The following is a 19,910-nucleotide window of genomic DNA, read 5'->3' as shown; positions in this document are numbered from 1 at the left end:
GCACAGCAGCTTTGGGAAATAGTGGCTTCCTGGCTCTGAGATGAGGTAGAAAAGACTGGATACTGGGGCAAGTGTTAGCACCTCCACTGGTGTTTTTATGAAGCTAAGAGCACTGTCTCCCAAGTAGACTTAGAATAAAATCTGATGGCTCTAAAGGGCTATGGCTGCCCTTCCTGGGACTTCCTGGGAACCTTTAAACCTTCTGTGGTTCCTGGAGTAGGTAGGTTGCCAAGTCTGTGCCTCATATGGTAGCACCAGTCTTTTCTGGGCCAACAAGGGCACTTAGAATGTTTCCAGAAGCTCAGGCATGCCGTCTCTGTTCCTCCCTTCTGTTCAATGGCAATTCCCTGGGTCCCTGGCTGTCATAGAACGTCCTGCAGAAGGTTGGGCTTGGGTGACTTCCTGGCCAGCCTTCTCAGGCAGTCATCTTTGAAAACCTTGAAGAGACTCACAGAGGCCATTCACTGGTATTTCATGACTGCAAGTGGGGTTTCTGGATCCTTGAGTTTACTTGGAATATTTGAATGGCTCTGAATGGCCAAGAAACCCTCCCTGGTCTTAGAAGCTGCCAAAAGCTATTACTGGGCCTCTGAAGAGACTTTAAAATTTTTCCAAGTACATTTGGGCATAGGAAACTTTTCCAGGTCTAGCTGAGCCAGCTCAGGTCGAGTCCTGAAAAACTGGTGGGTACTGGGGGATCTCATCTTATGAAAGAGCAATTGGTGGCAAAGCTGGGTCTCCAGGACAGCTGTGTGTGTATATGTCTGTAGAACATGCCTTGTAGTCATCTTTGGTAACTGAACACCATTTGTGAATGGATAAACTATATTCATTGCTGTACAATAATGAAAAATCCATATTAACAATGGCAGTAGTAAAAATATTGATGGATATTAACAGGAATAATGATCATCATGATACTAGTACTAATGGTTTTAATAGTGATAATAATACTAACCCTATGGACTTGGGACATATAAGTTTTCCATAAGTGGATAATAGGCATAAATATTTGGCTGTGTAGGGTTATTTCAAGTCCCAAAAAGCAAGGATGAACATCTAGAACGAGAAGAAAAACAATCTGGAGGTCAGTATGTGCACACCTGGGGACTCCTGTGTTAACTTCTGGTGTTTCAGCCTAAGAGAGAATGTTAATATAACCCTGGTCCTGGAACACCATGCTGACCAACACCTATCAGCTTTCAGGAGATAAGACAGCTGGCTGATGGGGCAGGGATCCAGAGAAGGCACGGGTCCACACCTGCATATGTTGCCCAGTGGCAGAGTTCATGACAAGCAATAAGCCCCAGGACAATGTCATTCCCAGCAACCTGGCTGTCATCTGTCTTTCATGGCCCCTCTCTACTGGTACCCCTAGACATTGGCATGTCCTCCAGAGGCTGTAGGAGGGCATGATACTCAGTACTCTCCCACGTGCAGGAGGCAAGAAAGATGGAAACAGCTAAATACCATGGCTTCTGGATTTTTTTTGGTGGGCATGGCATATTTTGCATTTGCTTTAATAATGTTGGAACCCAGTCAGTGGCTTGCAATACAGATCTAGATGACTCTGGACACCTGTAGAGATTTTGACAATTTCCAGAAGGTCACAAGTTCTTGGAGGACTTTTTCATGAGTTCTTTGACTGAAAAGGTGGTTCAAAGAGCTTCTATACCGACTTAGAAAATGTTGCAGAGGCCAGGTGCGGCGCCTTATGCCTGTAATCCCAGAACTTTGGGAGGCCAACGCAGGTGGATCATGAGGTCAGGAGTTTGAGACCAGTCTGACTAACATGGTGAAACCGCCTCTCTACTAAAAATACAAAAATTAGCTGGGTGTGGTGACACGCACCTGTAATCCCAGCTACTCAGGAGGCTGAGGCAGGAGAATCGCTTGAACCTGGGAGTCAGAGGTTGCAGCGAGCCAAGATCGCGACACTGGACTCCAGCCTGAGCGACGGAGTGAGACTCTATCTCAAAAAATAAATAAATAAATAAATAAAAAGGAAAAAAAAGAAAATGTTGCAGACACTCTGGTGAACAGGTAGGCCCTCTCCTGCCACTCCAGATAAAAGTTTCTTGGCCACAAACCTGATTTAGCAATATCCCTTCATCTTAGGTGGGTAACAGAAAGCCATTCATGACCTATCCAAGCATGGAGAGGGGATTTGACTTAGAAAACTGTTAGGTGGACTAGTTGGTGAAAGAAAGTGCATTCTAGGGCTCACAGGCCTACACATAGAGTTGCTATCACATAAAGCATATGTACGAATTCTTTCTGAGACCATGGCAAGATGAGGGTGCACTTCATCAGTCTCCTATGCTGGTATGAATAGGTACTTGCCTGAAAAATAAAAGAATAATTCAGGAAGCCCATTCTTCTACAGGACACCAAGCAGTACAGTAGGATTCCTGGGGTTGCTGTGGTATTTATGTTTTAAGGTTGTCTTTTAATCATCTTCAGCAAATTCAACAGTCTTCAGGAACATAAAACAATTATTCAACATTGCATAAAAACGACCACAAATATATCCATGATAAAGAACTGTATCAATATAATAATAACATTAATAACAATCATAATGGTGATGATATAAATGTCAATTTAATGAAGAGAGTAATAGAAAAGCAGATATTTAAGAACATATTCCTGTAAGCCTGTGACAATGTTCCCATACGAACCCTCATGTTATTGATTAGATGGAGAAGCTTAGGGCTACACCTTGAAATATCTTCTGTGATGGCAAAGAAGAGTGGCAGTAGGGAGAATAATTCTGAGCCACATGAGAGCATGGGCAAAAGTGGAGATACCTGTGCCATGTGGAAATGCATTACAAATGGACTATGGCAAAGGGTCTGGCCAGAGTCTTGCCTGACACAGGTCGTACAAAAGCCTTCAGTAGTTCACCCCAAGAAATAGCTGGTCCAGGCTGTAGATGAGAGACACTGGGCAGACAGATCCACACATGCCTCCTGAGTCTCAGAAGTCTGGTGTGCATTGAACATTAAGCCCCTAGCCTACTGAGACTTCACCTCCCAGCTGCTCTTCTACCATCTGATTCTTGAGCCCCATCACGTTAGTGTCATCTCCATACTGGAATTGCCAACAATGTCTGATGGAGGGTTTCACCCAGGATACTTGGTACCGGCAGTGTATGAAATACCAGAAGGGAGGCTCCAGGGCTTCCATAGAAGACACATTCAAAAGTTACTCAGGTGATCAAATGGTCATCTCAGAGATTTTCAGTAGAACTGCAGCATTTTGTCAATACCTGAGTGAATGCAGAAACTATCCAGAGGCACGGGCATTCTAGGAAGCTCCCTATGTAAATCAAATACAAGGAATATCTACTTCTGGGCTCAAAAGCTAACTTAGAGAAAAAAAAAAGTGAGATGCTGGCAGAAGGCAAATAACTCCACTTCAGTTCCCAAGAGAAAAATGGTTCTGTAATCTCTGAGTTTATTTGGAAAAATTTTGGAGCCTCAGGAAGACCGAGTATATCATTCCTGATGTTTCCAGGACAGATTGGACTGCTTAGGCCTTTGGGAATATTCTAAGTCCTCTCAGGTTTCCATGGGAGACTGTAACTCTACTCCTAGAGCTCACACCACCCCCGAGCAAGCTCATTGTTTTCTAAATATTCCAAGAAAGCCCATCCAGGGTATGCTTGTATTGGTGAGTTTCACTTTGGACTGGCAGGAGAAGACTGAGAATGATACATCCTGAGTTCACTTGGTAAAGGTAGGGGAGCCAAGAAGTCCAGATCTGGAGAGCACCTGAAACACCAGATGGCAGAAGGACAGTAAGGAGGTAAAGTCAGCTATGGAGTTGGAGCTTCATGTTTACTGCATGTAGGATTCTGAGTTCCAGGACTGATGGGCTGGTGGGGATCAGAGACGTGTCTTCCTTGCAGGGAGCCAGGCCAAACCAGCCATCTGGTTGCACTACTGAAAGCTTTTGTGTGCCCAGTGGTGGGCAGGACACAAATCACAGTCCCTTCACCTCTGGCTGGTAGTTCTTGATGAGAGAGGTTTGCACACAAATGTTCATATTAGCCCATGGTCTCCTGCGGCTTGCTTTTCTTTCACCTCCTGTTTTTGATGTTTGCCATCATGGAACACATTTCATAGAGAAATTCTTTGACTCTGACTCCAAATTACACAAGGAGGACACAGTCTGTGAAGTTTTCATATATTTAGGGGAAGCTCCACATTAATTTTTGTATCCTTACATTTATATTGTCTCCAGTATTAAAATTCATACTATTTAGGTCATTGAGTTCATTATCATGATTATTAATTATTTTTCATATATCGTTTCTTTTTATTGATTAATTTTTGTGGCAGCTGTTATATAACAATCACTAGAGTTTCCCTATTCATGAAAGATGTCCAAGTTAATGGAGATCACTAGGAGTGTTACTTTACAGGTATGTAAATACAGATAATCTTGGCTGGACTGTGGCTATATTGTCTGGTGTCCCTTTGAGGGTGAAGCCTCTTGTATTATTCTAAGTGACCTCTGGAGAAAGCAACTGTCTCATAATTGCAGGGACGACTTGAGAAGGCATCCTGAGCCTATGCAGAAATGCAGAAACACTTCCATGATCTAAACAACCTATGTGAAGGCCTGAAAGCCAAAGCAAGATCCTCTTATTACAAAGCTGTCCAACAAAATTTTTCCAAGTAACACTGGAGGTCCATCAGTCACTCTTCCTGGTCTGGAAATGCCAGAAATGTCCTCCTTGGTCCTTCTGAGAGTCAAGATCTTTTCAAAATCACCTCAGGAGCCACAGAACCACTCCATCCTACCTGAAATTGCAGGATGACTCTTCTTTTGACCAGAATCTCAAAAATATATTCGTTGATAGTATTGATTCCTGGGAGCCGCCATTGCTTGCAAAAGATGTGCCAGAGACTAGACATTTTCTGTCTCCTCACTTGTCCAGGGAAGACTGAAGTTTTACTGAAACACAGCGATGGGAAGCTGACCCTCTGAGCAGCCTCAGGATTTTCTAAGTCTTCCAAGCAGAGTGGAAATACTGGTGAGGACCCATTGCACCCCCTGATGGTCTGGAATCACATAGGATGATGCTTTCAAAGAACTCTAGGTGGAGATACATTTTCTGAGATATTCCAAGGAGGAGGGACACAATCGGACCAGATGTTAGAAGGACAGCTGAGCATTAAGTGCCCATGTAGTGTTTGCAGCTTAGTGTCCCATGCAGAAGGGGAACCTGGGCCCTGGTGTTAGAATTCAGTGTAATTCTGGGTTCCTGCTTTCCTTCCAGGAAATCTCACTTCCAACTGGATGTCTGGATGAACTACTGAAAGCTGCTGAGTGTCCTGCAGCAGGTGAGCTGTGGCCAGAGCCCAAGGATGAAGGGGGCTCCCTCACTCTGTGACTGTGAAGAGGAAGCCTGAGGTGTAGCAGGCCCAGGCCCCAGAAGTATGGAAAAAATGAGGTAGGGAGGGAGGGGACCTCAGGAGAAGACTGAGGTCTACAGAATCCCAGGGTCAAGGGGATGGTGCAGTGTCCTGGCACTATCCTTGATGTTTCAAGAGGGGTGAGAATCCATCTCCTGAGTAAAAGCTTCACATGGGGTGAGGAGGGGAGAATTGAACAGAGAGGAAGCAGGGAAGGCCAAGACAGCGACCAGCCTTACAGCAATTTTAACCAGAAATGGACACAGACCCTGGACCCCATCACAGGAGTGCAGGCCTAAGACTGTCTCCAGGTGATGCATAGCTCCCTTGTCAGGTTAGTGGGTGCAGGGATTGTGACGTCTGCAGTGGTGTGGAAGGCTGGGCAATGGGAGCAGCTTACTGGGCTGGACCAGAAATACTGAACTTCTTTTCCATCAGTGAAATCCGCTTCTAGGTCAGAAAAAACTGCGAGTTCTAGAGAGGCAGGGCCTAGGAGGAGGTCAGGTCCTGAGCCTTCCTGGTTTGACCCCTTCCCACCCCCTGTGTTTCTGGGTCTGTCCTCACTTCCACCCAGCGGATCCTGAGTCTCTTCCTTTGAGTCCCTGTGAGTGTGTTGTGTGCAGTGGGGCCGGGCTGCTTCATCCACTGCACGTTAAATGTTTCCAATACTTTCCGGCCAAAGCTTAGAGTTGTCAGACCACTGACTTTGAATGTTGGCCTGGTTCCTTGTGGAACAGAGTAATAGCTATTGAAGTTTAAAGTCACTTTCCTGTGTGGATGGTGAAGAGGCAGGCTGTTCAGGCATAGCTGTCCTCAGGCCTGGAGGGCTGTGGAGGTCACCGTGGGCGGTGGGTGGATCCGGAACCTCTGTGGCTCTAGACTTTCAACTATTTCATTTTTTCTTTTGTAGTTTTTGTTTGTTGCTTGCTTTTTTACAATGAGAACTAGAATGTAAGATGCTAAACTCAGCCTGTGGGGAACATGGATTTTCACAACAGCAACCACAGAACGTGGTTTCCATTTCTATTCCCTGTTCATGTGGGAGGCAGAGAAGGAAATCAGGTGCTCAGTTCCAGGGACATCACAGGACTAGGACATGTGCAGTGAGGGTGGAAGGCAGAGGCATTGCTTTAGGGCAATAAAATTATTGCATGCACACACATATGTATGTATATGGATGTATGTACACAAACATGCATATTTATAGATTCTGTTCTCCCTCTGTCTATATAATTTTTTTATTTCACACTTGATATGATTTCTAAATTTAAATACCTTTGAGACAAAGGTGAATTGTGAAGGGATTTAAAAATGTCAGTGAAAAATGGAATTAACAATAAAAATATAAATATAAACTTTATTTCTCAATATAAGCTTTACTGAGGTCCAGACACTCCATTAAAGGATGATCCCAGCCATTCAGTCCATTGCTAAACAACTGAGGGTAATGGGAATTTAACCGTGTCAATGCAGTCTTCTATTATTAACTAAAGAAAAATGGGTGCCCTTTACAGTTATACAGTTATTTTAAGGTTAGGGAAAAAAAGGTCAGAAGAAACCAAATCAGGACTGTAATGTTGATGCCTAATAATTTCCCATGAAAACTCTTGCAAAATTACCCATGTTTGATGAGAGGAAGGAACAGAAGTGTTGTTGTGGTGCAGAGGGACTCTCTAGTGAAGCTTTACAGGGCGCTTTTCTGCAAAAGTATTTGCTAATTTTCTCTAAGAACTCTCCTAGTAAGCAGATGTTATCGTGCTTTGACCTTACAAAAAGTCAACAAGCAAAATACCTTGAGCATCCCCAAAACCTCCATGGCTTTTGCTTTTGAGAAGTTTGCTTTTGCTTTGACTGGACCACTTCTACCTCTTGGTAGCCATGGCTTGAATTGTGCTTTGTCTTCAGGATCTTATTGATAAAGCCAGTTTCACTCCCTGTTAAAATTCTTCAAAATAATGCTTCAGGATCTTGATTCTGCTTGCTCAAAATAGTTACTAATAGCTCTGCTTTTGTCCACTGCTGATCTAGGCACAAGGGTATTTGGGACTCATCAAATGTAAAGTTTCTCAACTTTCACGTTATAGTCAGTATTGTGTAAGCTGAACCAATTGAGATGTCTGTGATGTTGGCTACAGTATCTCTTGTTAATTGTCAATCCTCCTCAATGAGAGCATAGAAACGATTTTTTTTTCTCAAAAATTGGTATGGATGTCCCTCCTCTGTTGACTTCATCTTCAACATTGTATTATCTCTTCTTAGAATAAGGTATCCGTTTGTAAATGACTGATTCTTCAGGTCATTTTTCCCATAGACTTTTCATAAAGAATAATTTATTTCACCATTTTTTGTACCCCAGCTTCACCGTAAATTTGATGTTTGTTCTTGCTTCAGGTTTGACAGAATTCATGTTGCTGCCATAGAGGGGCTCTTTTCAAACTGATGTCTTAAATCTTGTTCAGATATGTTAAAACAGGGCCAGGCATGGTGGCTTATGCCTGTAATCCCTGCATTTTGGAAGGTTAGAAAAAATAAAGTTTTTTAAAATTTTATTTTATTTCATTTTAAGTTCTGGGATACATGTGCATGATGCGCAGGTTTGTTACATAGGTAAATGTGTGCCATGGTGGTTTCCTGTACCTATCAACCCATCACCTAGGTATTCAGCCCACATGCATTAGCTATTCATCCTGATGCACTCCCTCCCCACTCACCCACAGACAGGATCCAGTGTGTGTTGTTCCCCTCCCTGTGTCTATGTTCTCTCATTTTTCATCTCCCACTTATTAAGTGAGAACATGTGTATTTGGTTTTCTGTTCCTGCATTAGTTTGCTGAGAATAATGACTTCCAGCTTCATCCATGTCCCTGCAAAGGACATGATCTCATTCCTTTTTATGGCTGCATAGTATTCCATGGTGTATATGTATCACAGTTTCTGTATCCAGTCTATCATTGATGGGCATTTGGGTTGATTCTATGTCTTTGCTTTCATGAATAGTGCTGCAATGAACATACCCATGCATGTATCTTTATAATACAAGAATTTATATTCCTTTGAGTATATATGCAGTAATGGGATTGCTGGGTCAAATGGTATTTCTGATTCTAGGTCTTTGAAAAATCACCACAGTCTTCCACAGTGGTTGAACTAACTTACATTCACACCAACAGTGTAAAAGTTTTCCTATTTCCCCACAGTCTCACCAGCATCTGTTGTTTTTTGACTTTTTAATAATCACCATTCTGACTGGCATGAGATGGTATCTCACTGCGGTTTTGATTTGTATTTCTCTAATGATCAGTAATGTTGGGCTTTTTTTTCATGTTTGTTGGCTGCATAAATGTCTTCTTTTGAGAAGTGTCTGTTCATGTCCTTTGCCCACTTTTGAAATTTTTACATTTTTATTTTTTAAGACAGAGTCTTGCTCTGTCACTCAGGGTGGAGTTCAGTGGCACAATCTCGGGTCACTGCAACTTCTGCCTCCCAGATTCAGGCGATTCTTCTCTCTCAGGCTCTTGAGTAGTTGGGATTACAGGTCCGCACCACTACATCCGGCTAATTTATTGTATTTTCAGTAGAGACGTGGTTTCACCAGCTTGGCCAGGCTGATCTTGAATTCCTGGCCTCAAGTTATCTGCCCACTTCACCCTCCCAAACTGCTGGGATTACAGGCATGAGCCACTGTACCCAGCTTTTGCCCACTTTTATATGGGGTTGGATTTTTTACAGTTTTGGGTTTTACATTTAAGTCTTAATCCATTTTCAGTTCATTTTTGTATAAGGTATAAGGAAGGGGTACAGTTTCAGTTTTCTGCCTATGTCTAGCCAATTTTTCAAGCACCATTTATTATTAAATAGGGAATCCTTTCCCCATTGCTTGTTTTCATCAAAAATAAAATGGTTGTAGATGTGCAGTCTTATTTCTGATATATCTATTCCATTCCATTGGTCTATGTGTCTGTTTTGTACCACTACCATGCTGTTGGGTTACCGTAGCCTTGTAATATAGTTTGAAGTTAGGTAGCATGATGCCTCTAACTTTGTTATTTTACCTTAGGATTGTCCTGGGTATATGGGCTCTTTTTTCATTCCATATGAATTTTGAAGTAGTTTTTTCTAATTTTGTAAAGAACGTCCATGGTAGTTTATGGGAATAGCATTGAATCTATGAATTACTTTGGGAAGTATGGCATTTTCATGATATTGATTCTTCTTACCCATGAGCATGGAATGTTTTTCCATTTGTTTGTGTCCTCTCTTATTTCCTTGAGTAGTGGTTTGTAGTTCTCCTTGAAGAGGTCCTTCACTTGCCTTGTTAGCTGTATTCCTAGGTATTTTATACTCTGCAGCAAATGTAAATGGGAACTTATTTGTGATTTGGCTCTCTTCTTGTCTATTGTTGGTGTATAAGAATGCTTGTGATTTTTGCACACTGATTTTGTATCTTGAGAATTTACTGCAGTGGCTCATAAGCTTAAGAATCTTTTGGGCTGAGATGATGGGATTTTATAGATATAGGATCATGTCATCTGCAAACAAAGACAGTTCAACTTCCTCTTTTACTATTTGAATATGCTTTATTTCTTTCTCTTGGCTGATTGCCTCGGCCAGAACTTCCAGTACTATATGGAGTAGGAGTGGTGAGAGAGGGCATCCTTGCCTTGTGCCGAATTTCAAAAGGAATGCTTCCAGCTTTTGCCTATTCAATATGATATTGGCTGTGGGTTTGTCAAAAATGACTCTTATTATTTTGAGATATGTTCCATCAATACCTAGTTTCCTGAGGTTTTTAACATAAAGGAATGTTGAATTTTATCAAAGATCTTTTCTGAGTATACTAAAATAATCATGGGGTTTTTGTCTTTAGTTCGGTTTACATGGTGAATTATATTTATTGATTTGTGTTTGTTGAACCAGCCTTGCACCAAAGGGAAGAAGCTGACTTGATCTTGGTGGATAAGGTTTTTGATATGTTGCTGGATTTGGTTTGCCACTATTATATCGAGAATTTTTGCATCAAAGTTTATCAGAAATATTAAACTAAAGTCTAGTAAACACATTGAAAATAATAACAGACTGATTAAAATACTAAATAATATGAATCCTAAGTGTTCTCACAACTGATTTATAGAGTAAAAGCATTGTTAAACCAAATGAGCTTGGCCAGAAACTGTATAGAGTCTGAGATGTTGTCTGAACTTCCAGTTACTCATTGTGAGGTGGAACTGCAGTAACTATATTTGGTGCAAAATTTCATGTTGATGGAAGCTGAGATGTCCTGCAGTCTCAGAGGGACAGAATTCTGGTGTATCTCCCTTTGGCCTATGAGGAATGAAGATTTAGGCCCTGAGGGTTTTGTCAAAATTTATAAGATGTAAGAAATGGGGACATCTTTAGGCCATGAGGCAAGGCCTAGAGGTGTAAAGAAAACAGCTTCTGACCCAGGGCTCATGAAGTCAGCATAGTGTCAGAGGCGATGGTGGAGTGAGCATAGTATGGTCTTTGGAACCATTCCTTCCCCATATTTCTTCATAGGCCAAGTATGCGCAACCAGGGGGCATCTCGGGCCTGATGAGCAGAGTCCTGGAGAGATAAAGGGGCAATCCTGAGGAAGAGACTTGACAGGGAGGAAGGAGCCACCATTTTCACTGCTGAGAAAACTACTCCTCCCTAGTAAACCATAGGATTTTCCTTGGTCCAGTGAGAGTTTTCCTGAGTGAAGAGAAAAGAGAGAGAAAGGGACTGATGTGTTATCTGTTTCTACCACCTGAAGTGATTCTGAAACTTTGGGGGACAGGAGAATTATCTTCAGAATCATGAGCAATCCAGATGCCATGATTACACATGAGAGACTGAAAGTTCTTATCTCTGGGGGGTAGGCACTAGGCATTGATATTCGTTAAAGCTCATTCACTGATTACAAAGTGAGACAAATAAATACTCTGCTGCAAGATTTATTCATGACATATTATTTCACACACAATTCAATTGTCTTCAGCACAAAGAGCTCTTGGTTCCCTGCCTGCGGACACCCTGTAACTGGGTCTTCCAAATTCATTCTTCTGGATGTAAAAGAGGACATAGGCCTGTTGACTCAAAGGAGAAGTGATACCAGAGGCAGTGACCTCGGCATCATCCATTTTATACCACTGGCCTTCTTGAGCTTTGACACAAGAGAAGTAATGTCCGTTGTGACAACTCCACCCGGTGACGATGAGAACAGCATAGAGGACATAGAAAAGAGGTCCTGTGTTCTGCTGAGACATGTATGGCTGCATGTCAACGCACTCAGGATATTGCACATTCTTGGCAAGTCTGTTGCCTGTGACATCGGAGAATCTCTTCAAGACAAGGATGAGGACCTTGGCAGAAGTGTGTAAAGTTAACGTCTTGGCGGCAGGCGCCTTCTGGAGACAAAGACCACAATGATAGGCATTCTCTCCATTGAGTTCTTCGGGCTTCACCAACTGTTCCTAAGCTTGCTTGACACTCTGAGCTGCCTGGATATCCAGGGCGATATCCAGGTAAGGGTCGAAGGTGTCTGAAATGCCGTGGAAGTAGAGACACTTGATTTGAGATCTCTAGTACCCTCCAAATATTTGGTGGATGAGGGTGGTGTCCTTGCAGTGATGATCTAGCTGCTTGTGCCCGGGAAGGCATGCCTTTCTAATGGCATCCACAGTGAATATGAGAAATTCATGGGCATCTTCCTGCTTGCCTCTATGGAAGCCAGCAGCCAATGCCTGTGAGGGCTGGATGACATGGCCAGGACGGTGGAGGTGCCCGTGTGCTGTGAGCTTCCATAATACAGAGCATGCAGCACTTGGGACGATGACACATTTGAGAGAGCTCCCAGGACAGCATGTAGTTGGCAAGGGGCAGTGTGTATGTCAGGCACTGCAGGGAAGCATTCAAGTAGCAGGTATTTCCCATATTCTGGAGACCAGCTCCCACCGCAGCAGGTCTCCTGCTACTCGGAGGAAGCTTCTCCCTGGGAGCAAGCTGTCTTGTCACAGGAGCCAAATCGTCACAGAGGTCGACACGGGTCTCCGATGAGAGTGGTGACTTCTCAGGGAGAGAAGTCCGCTGGATTTCAGCAAAAGCTGCATCTGGCCGAGAAGATGTGAGTTTTGAAAAGTGGTTGAACTGCCACTCACCTCCCAAGTAGAGTGAGTCGTCCTCCATGTCGCCTGGAACAAGGATCACAAGGTTTTTCTGCTGGGACCGCAGGTTGCAGAAAGACGCTATCTTTTCCGAGAGAGTCTTCAAATAACGAGTTCTCTGGCCAAATCAGCCCTTACATAACTCATCCGCACCAAGAGCGAACACGCCACCCGCACATAAGGTGCGCGATAAACCAATCAAATATCAGCACTCAATTAAGGAATGAGTCACAGGGTGTGTCCCCTTGCATCGCTGGGAATTCAACAGACACAGCCCACATCATGACTTCTAAAACACCTGCATCAAATTACTCCTCAGGATGATAGGCACATATAATATGATTGTAACCGGGTTGGGACAGTGGCCACACAGTTGCCTTATTTTAGGTAAAAGAATGTCAGGGAAGAAATCTTTATCTATGAAACCGTGTGTGTGTCTCTCTCTGTGTGAGTGTGTGTGTGTGTGTGTGTTTGTGCTGGGATGTACTTCCGAGTATGTGCTTTTGGCAGATACCATCATCCTTTCAGCGATAGAAGGAGAAGTCTGAAGTGCGCTTTCTGACCTGAGAATAGGCAATGAAGTATAGTAATTAGCACAGCATATATTTTTCCTCAATAAAAAAGGAGAGATCCGTGGAATCAATCACACCTCCCAGCGATAACCTTTCCATAATCAGCCTAATGATTCTATATCCGAGTGAAATTACCTGCCAGTGGAGAAAAAGACAAGTCTTTACATTAAATGCTCTTGTGGAAGCTAGATTGCTGAATAATAAAGCATTAAGTCGTAGAAACATGCACTGAAGTTTGAAGAGATACTCAGTGCACAAACTAGACTGTAAAAGACTTTGGGGAAATAATGGAATCACCGAGAGACTAACTGATGACATTCCGAAAATTTATATTTGCCAGAAAAGAGAGATGGTCAAGACATTGTATAGTGAGTGGTTTTGGACGTGCGACGGCAGTTTAAGAAAATATGAAACAAAAAACTTGAGAAATCAGAAGGTATCCCAACTATAACCTTTGTTTTACAAAAGAATTGATGAAAATAAAAACAACGTATCTCACAGCACGCGTGATAATATTTTCATACGTATGTGATAATGGAGCAACATTTGATAGAGATGAATGAAAATTTCTAAATTTGACAAAAGCAAACAACAAAAATTACACCGTAGAAAAGCGTGGGTGACGGCAGTGACGCCCTGTCTCAAGAAGTAAACATCCGAGAGATTTAAAAGTGGGGAGTGAAACCAAGGATAGCATAACATTGTTAATACTGGCCCTTGTTTCAGTGGGAAAAGGCAAAAGTAAGCCGTGTGTCTCCTAGATTCTCGCATGAATTGTTCAGGATATGAGATGTTGCCTCCATTTCCAGTTACGCATTGTATGGTGGAATTGCAGTTAGCACATTTGGTGCCAAAATTTTAATGCTGTCGAAAATGGACATGTTCCCTGAACTAAGAGGGACATAATTTGGGTGTGTCTCCAGGCTCTCTGGCTTACCAGGATTGAAGATCCAGGCTCTAGGGATTTTCCCAAAATGTCTTAGACAGTAAGCACTGGGGCAGAATTGAGGCCCGGCGCCAAGGTCTCGAGGTGTAAAGAAACAGCCGTGGCCTCAGGGCCCATGAAATTCGGATGATTTTAAGGAGGATGGTGGAATGAGAGGACTGTGATCTTTGGCCCCGTTTCTTCTCCCTTGTCTTTTCATGGGCCAGGTGTGCTCCATCAGAAGGCTTTCTGTGCCTGATGTAAAGTGTCCTGGGTGAAGAAAGGGCACTGCTTAGAGAGGTGCTCCACAGGCAGGAAGGAGCCACAATTTTCAGGAGAATGATCCCCAGAAGCATGAGCAATCCAGATGCCGTGGCTTCACACAAGACGTTGGAGGGTCTTATTCCTGCAGCCGGGACCTGGGCATCGGTGTGCTTTAATGCTCATAACTAATTTTGAGGGGAGCCCAATCGATAACCTGTCTGCAAGTCATGCTCATCACACTGTAGTTTTCACACACGTCACACAGAGACCCTGTTCGTATGCACATTTGGGTGCTTGAGCAGGGTTGTGCCCAAGATTCTGTGGTTCTACGGAGCCCTGAGTTGTGACCTGGACAGCTTTCCTCAGGGGTTGGTCAACTTTGATCACTGCACCTAACAAGAAAGGGACCATGAAATCTAATCAGCAAATACAGAAAAGGAAGGGGCCATTTCCCACAATAATTTCCACAGAAACACCACGTCGGATAAATAAGTCTGATTGCAGGACAGGGACTGTGTTTCAGAGATGCAGCTTTCGCAGCTGGACGAATGACCCGGAATCTCCTCAAATGCCATTTGTAAACACACCAAATGAGGTTTATTTCAGGGCTTTCTGAATGTATTTTAGATGAATACACACACTCCAGTGTTTGATTTCCTTTAGTATCAATGAGAATTAGTTCCAAATGACTTCCGTGCCAGTGGGAAAATTTTCCGTTTCCACGCAATGGAAGTGGACACCGTGAAACAGGTAAGTCGGTCTGTCTGTTTCCCGCATTATGTGGGTTCCAGCAAGAGCACAAGTCCCAGGGCACCTGAGGTCCATTCAGAAACCAAAATAAAATGGGCGAGCCAGGGTAAGAAAGAAGAGCACCGTTCCTATCTTCCAATTGAATTCCAGTATCCACTATTCAAGGTGGCAAGAATGATCCACGGATGTACCACATGAGCAAAATTTCACCTTCTCTTGACGACCAACAACTGACGAAAGAAACAAACCCCAAGAGGAAATAGTAAACCATGTCCCCTGCAATAACCTCACACGCAAACCTACAGGTCAATAGGTCACATTAAGAAATACACACTGAATGTCATCTACCATGAACACAAACACACAGACAGTCCCTCCAGAGGTTCGGAAGACTCACGACCCCAAAACATGATGTTTCCCATATGTGGGCTCATCCTGAGACGCAGCCATCACTATCCAATTGTCCCTGTTGTAGAGACAGAAACTGGGGCTCCTCATTACTTTATGTAGGATTCACGGTGTTCGTGTTTGTGTGGGTGTGGGTGTGTTTCCGTGCGCGCTTGTGGGTGTATTTGTGTTTGTGTGTGTGTGTGTGTACCCCTCAGTGTGGGTCGGTACTTCCACTCTGATCACTGGCACACAAGCAGAGATCTCTTGCTGTGTTTGTTCTTCCCTTTGGATCTCCTGGTCCTCCCTTGCAGAGAAGCGAGTGTGCCAGTGTTCATGGACTCCTGATCTGTCGAGTTCATCGAAGAGAGGTTTAGCAGGGAGCTTTGCTGTTCAGGATGGTGGTTTTTCATCCCACACTTGTATTTTGATTGATGAATCACAAGTACGTTGGGAGGCAGGGTACCTTCAACTTTTCTGACGTTGAACTCAGGCTTCATTTTGTTTTGCTCTTGGGGGAATTTCCAGTGGTCTAAGGTGCTTTCCTCAGTGGCTCTTTCCACCAAGTGCTCGTCCAACTCGGGTACCTGGAGGCAAGGGTGGTCTCTCTTGAGCTCTCCTTGCGTTGCTGGCCTGTCTGTGTCTTCAGCGCCAAGGGCTCTTGGTTCCCTGCCTCTTGACACACTCTCACTGTGTCTTTCCCATTCACTCTTCTGGATGTAAAAGAGGACATAGGCCTGTTGACTCAGGACAGAAGTGATGCTACAGACAGTGACCTCGGCATCATCCATTTTATACCACTGGCCTTCTTGAGCTTTGACATAAGAGAAGTAATATCCGTCGTGACAACTCCACCCAGCGTGGACCAGCACAGCATAGAGGACATAGACAAGAGGTCCTGTGTTCTGCTGAGACATGTATGGCTGCATGTCAAGGCACTCAGGATATTGCACATTCTTGGCAAGTTTGTTGCCTGCGACATCGGAGAATCTCTTCAAGACAAGGATGAGGACCTTGGCAGAAGTGTGTAAAGTTAACGTGTTGGAGGCCGGCGCCCTCTGGAGACAAAGACCGCAATGATAGGCATTCTCTCCATTGAGTTCTTCGGGCTTCACCAACTGTTCCAAAGCTTGCTTGACACTCTGAGCTGCCTGGATATCCAGGGCGATGTCCAGGTAAGGGTCAAAAGTGTCTGAAATCCCGTGGCAGTGGAGACACTTGATTTGAGATCTCCAGCAGCCTCCAAATATTTGGTGGATGAGGGTGGTGTCCTTAGAGTGATGATCTACCTGCTTGTGGCCGGGAAGGCATGCCTTTTTCATGGCATCCACAGTGAACATGAGAAATTCATGGACATCTTCCTGCTTGCCTCTATGGAAGCCAGCAGCCAATGCCTGTGAGGGCTGGATGACATGGCCAGGACTGTGGAGGGCCCATGTGATGTGAGCTTGCATAGTACAGAGCATGCAGCACTTGGGACGCTGACATGTTTGAGAGTGCTCCCGGGACAGCATGTAGTTGGCAAGGGGCAGTGTGTATGTCAGGCACTGCAGGGAAGCGTTCTCGTAGCAGGTATTTCCCATATTCTGGAGCCCAGCCCCCACCGCAGCAGGTCTCCTGCTACTCAGAGGAAGCTTCTCCCTGGGAGCGAGCTGTCTTGCCACAGGAGCCAAATCATCACAGAGGTCGACACGGGTCTCAGATGAGAGTGGTGACTTCTCAGGGAGAGAAGTCCGCTGGATTTCAGCAAAAGCTGCATCTGGCCGAGAAGATGTGAGTTTTGAAAAGTGGTTGAACTGCCACTCACCTCCCAAGTAGAGTGAGTCGTCCCCCATGTCGCCCGCAACAAGGATCACAAGGTTTTTCTGCTGGGACCGCAGGTTGCAGCAAGACGCTATCTCTTCCGAGAGAGTCTTCAAATGACGAGCTCTCTGGCCGCATCATCCCTTATAGAACTCACCCCCACCAGCCGGGAACACCCCACCCACCCATCAGGTGCGCGATAAAACAATCAAATATCAGCACTCAATTAAGGAATGAGTCACAGGGTGTGTCCCCTTGCATCGCTGGGAATTCAACAGACACAGCCCACATCATGACTTCTAGAACACCTGAATCAAATTACTCCTCAGGGTGATAGGCACATATAATATGAGTGTAACCGGGTTGGGACAGTGGCCACACAGTTGCCTTATTTTAGGTAAAAGAATGTCAGGGAAGAAATCTTTATCTATGAAACCGTGTGTGTGTCTCTGTGTGTGTGTGTGTGTGTGTGTGTGTGTGTGTGCGCTTGTGCTGGGATGAACTTCCAAGTATGTACTTTTGGCAGCTATCATCATCCTCTCAGCGATGGAAGCACAAGAAGTCTGAAGTGCACTTTCTGACCTGAGAATAGTCAATGAAGTATAGTATTTAGCACAGCGTATATTTTTCCTTAATAATAAAGGAGAGATCCGTGGAATCCAACAGACCTTCCAGCGATGACCTTTCCACGTTCAGACTATTGATTCTCTATCCGAGTGAAATTACCGGCCAGTGGAGAACAAGACAGGTCTTTGCATGAAATGCTCTTGTGGAAGCTAGGCTGCCAAATACTAAAGCATCAAATGGTAGAAACATGCACTGAAGTTTGAAGAGATACTCAGCGCACAAAGTAGACTGTGAAAGACTTTGGGGAAATCATGCAATCACCGAGAGACTAATTGATGACATTCCCCAAATTTATGTGTGCCAGAAAAGAGAGATGGTCCTGACATTGTATAGTGAGTGGTTTCGGACGTGCGGCGGCAGTTTAAGAAAACATGAAACAAAAACCTTGAGAAATCCAAAGGTATCCCAACTATAAGCTTTTGTTTATTAAAGAACTGATGAAAATCAAAACAACGTATCTCACAGCATGGGTGATACTATTTCCACACGTATGTGATAATGGCTCAACATTTCATAGAGATGAAATAAAAAGTTCTAATTTTGACAAAAGCAAACAAGGAAAATTATACCGTAGAAAAGCCCGGGTGACGGGAATGAGGCCCTGTCTCAAGAAGAAAACATCGGAGACGTTTAAAAGCAGGGAGTGAAACAGAAGATAGCATAACCTTTTTACTGCTGGCCCTTGTTTCACAGGGAAAAGGCAAAAATAAGCCGTGTGTCTCCTGGATTCTCGCATCGATTGTTCATGATCTGAGATGTTCCCTCCATTTCCAGTTATGCATTGTATGGTGGAATTGCAGTTAGCACATTTGGTGCAAAAATTGTAATGCTGACGAAAGTGGACATGTTCCCTGAACTAAGAGGGACAGCATTTGGGTGTGTCTTCAGGCTCTCTGGCTTACCAGGAATGAAGATCCTGGCTCTAGGGATTTTCCCAAAATGTCTTAGACAGTAAGGAACAGGGCAGAATTGAGGCCCGGCGCCAAGGCCTCTAGTTTTAAAGAAACAGCCCTGGCTTCAGGGCCCATGAAATTCGGATGATTTTAAGGAGGATGATGGAATGAGAGGACTGTGACCTTTGGCCCCGTTTCTTTCCCTTGTCTTTTCATGGGCCAGGTGTGGTCCATCAGAAGGCTTCGTGCGCCTGATGTAAAGTGTCCTGGGGGAAGAAAGGAGCACTGCTTAGAAAGATGCTCCACAGGGAGAAAGAAGCCACCATTTTCAGGAGAATGATCCCCAGAAGCATGAGCAACGCAGATGCCGTGGCTTCACACAAGACGTCGGAGGGTCTTATTCCTGCAGCCGGGACCTGGGCATCGGTGTGCTTTCATGTTCCTAACTGATTTTGAGGGGAGCCCAATCGATAACCTGTCTGCGAGTCATGCTCATCACACTGTAGTTTTCACACACGTCACACGGAGACCCTGTTCGTATGCACATTTGGGTGCTTGAGCAGGGTTGCGCCCAAGATTCTGTGGTTCTACGGAGCCCTGAGTGGTGCCCTGGGCAGCTTTCCTCTGGGGTTGGTCAACTTTGATCACTGCACCTAACGAGAAAGGGACCATGAAATCTAATCAGCAAATACAGACAAGGAAGGGGCCATTTCCCACAATCATTTCCACGGAAACACCACGTCGGATACGTAAGTCTGATTGAAGGACAGGGACTGTGCTTCAGAGGTGTAGCTTTCGCAGCTGGACGAATGACCCGGAATCTCCCCAAATGCCATTTGTAAGCACACCAAATGAGATTTTTTTTCAGGGCTTTCTGAATTTATTTCAGTTGAATACACACACTCCTGTGTTTGATTTCCTTTATTATCAATAGGACTTAGTTCCAAATGACTGACATGCCAGTGGGAAAATTTTCCGTTTCGACTCATTGGAAGTGGACCCCGTGAAACAGGCAAGTCGGTCTGTCTGTTTCCGGCGTTATGTGGGTTCCAGCAAGAGCACAAGTCCCAGGGCGCCTGAGGTCCCTTCAGAAACCAATG

At 44.3% G+C, this 19,910-nt stretch overlaps 1 protein-coding gene, 1 long non-coding RNA gene and 1 pseudogene across 2 annotated transcripts in view; 1 reads left to right on the top strand and 2 right to left on the bottom strand.

The window, feature by feature from the left end:
* The window catches only part of FAM66B (family with sequence similarity 66 member B), a 56,620-nt gene that overhangs the window by 927 nt on the left and 35,783 nt on the right, over positions 1–19,910 (top strand). The window contains exon 2 of the long non-coding RNA NR_027423.2: positions 5,291–5,354. This is a non-coding gene — a long non-coding RNA (family with sequence similarity 66 member B). The remainder of the gene's footprint in view (positions 1–5,290; positions 5,355–19,910) is intronic.
* LOC402329 (ubiquitin carboxyl-terminal hydrolase 17-like protein 2-like) lies at positions 11,417–12,611 on the bottom strand (annotated as a pseudogene).
* Positions 15,730–17,322, bottom strand: USP17L4 (ubiquitin specific peptidase 17 like family member 4). Its single transcript, NM_001256874.1, has one exon. It carries the CDS (start codon positions 17,320–17,322, stop codon positions 15,730–15,732), a length of 1,593 nt encoding a protein of 530 aa, NP_001243803.1.

Source organism: Homo sapiens, chromosome 8 (genome assembly GCF_000001405.40).
Source record: "Homo sapiens chromosome 8, GRCh38.p14 Primary Assembly".
In the NCBI taxonomy this organism is placed as follows: Eukaryota; Metazoa; Chordata; class Mammalia; order Primates; family Hominidae; genus Homo; species Homo sapiens.
The sequence above is the reverse complement of the archived record's forward strand: the minus strand, read 5'-3'. Positions and strand labels throughout refer to the sequence as shown.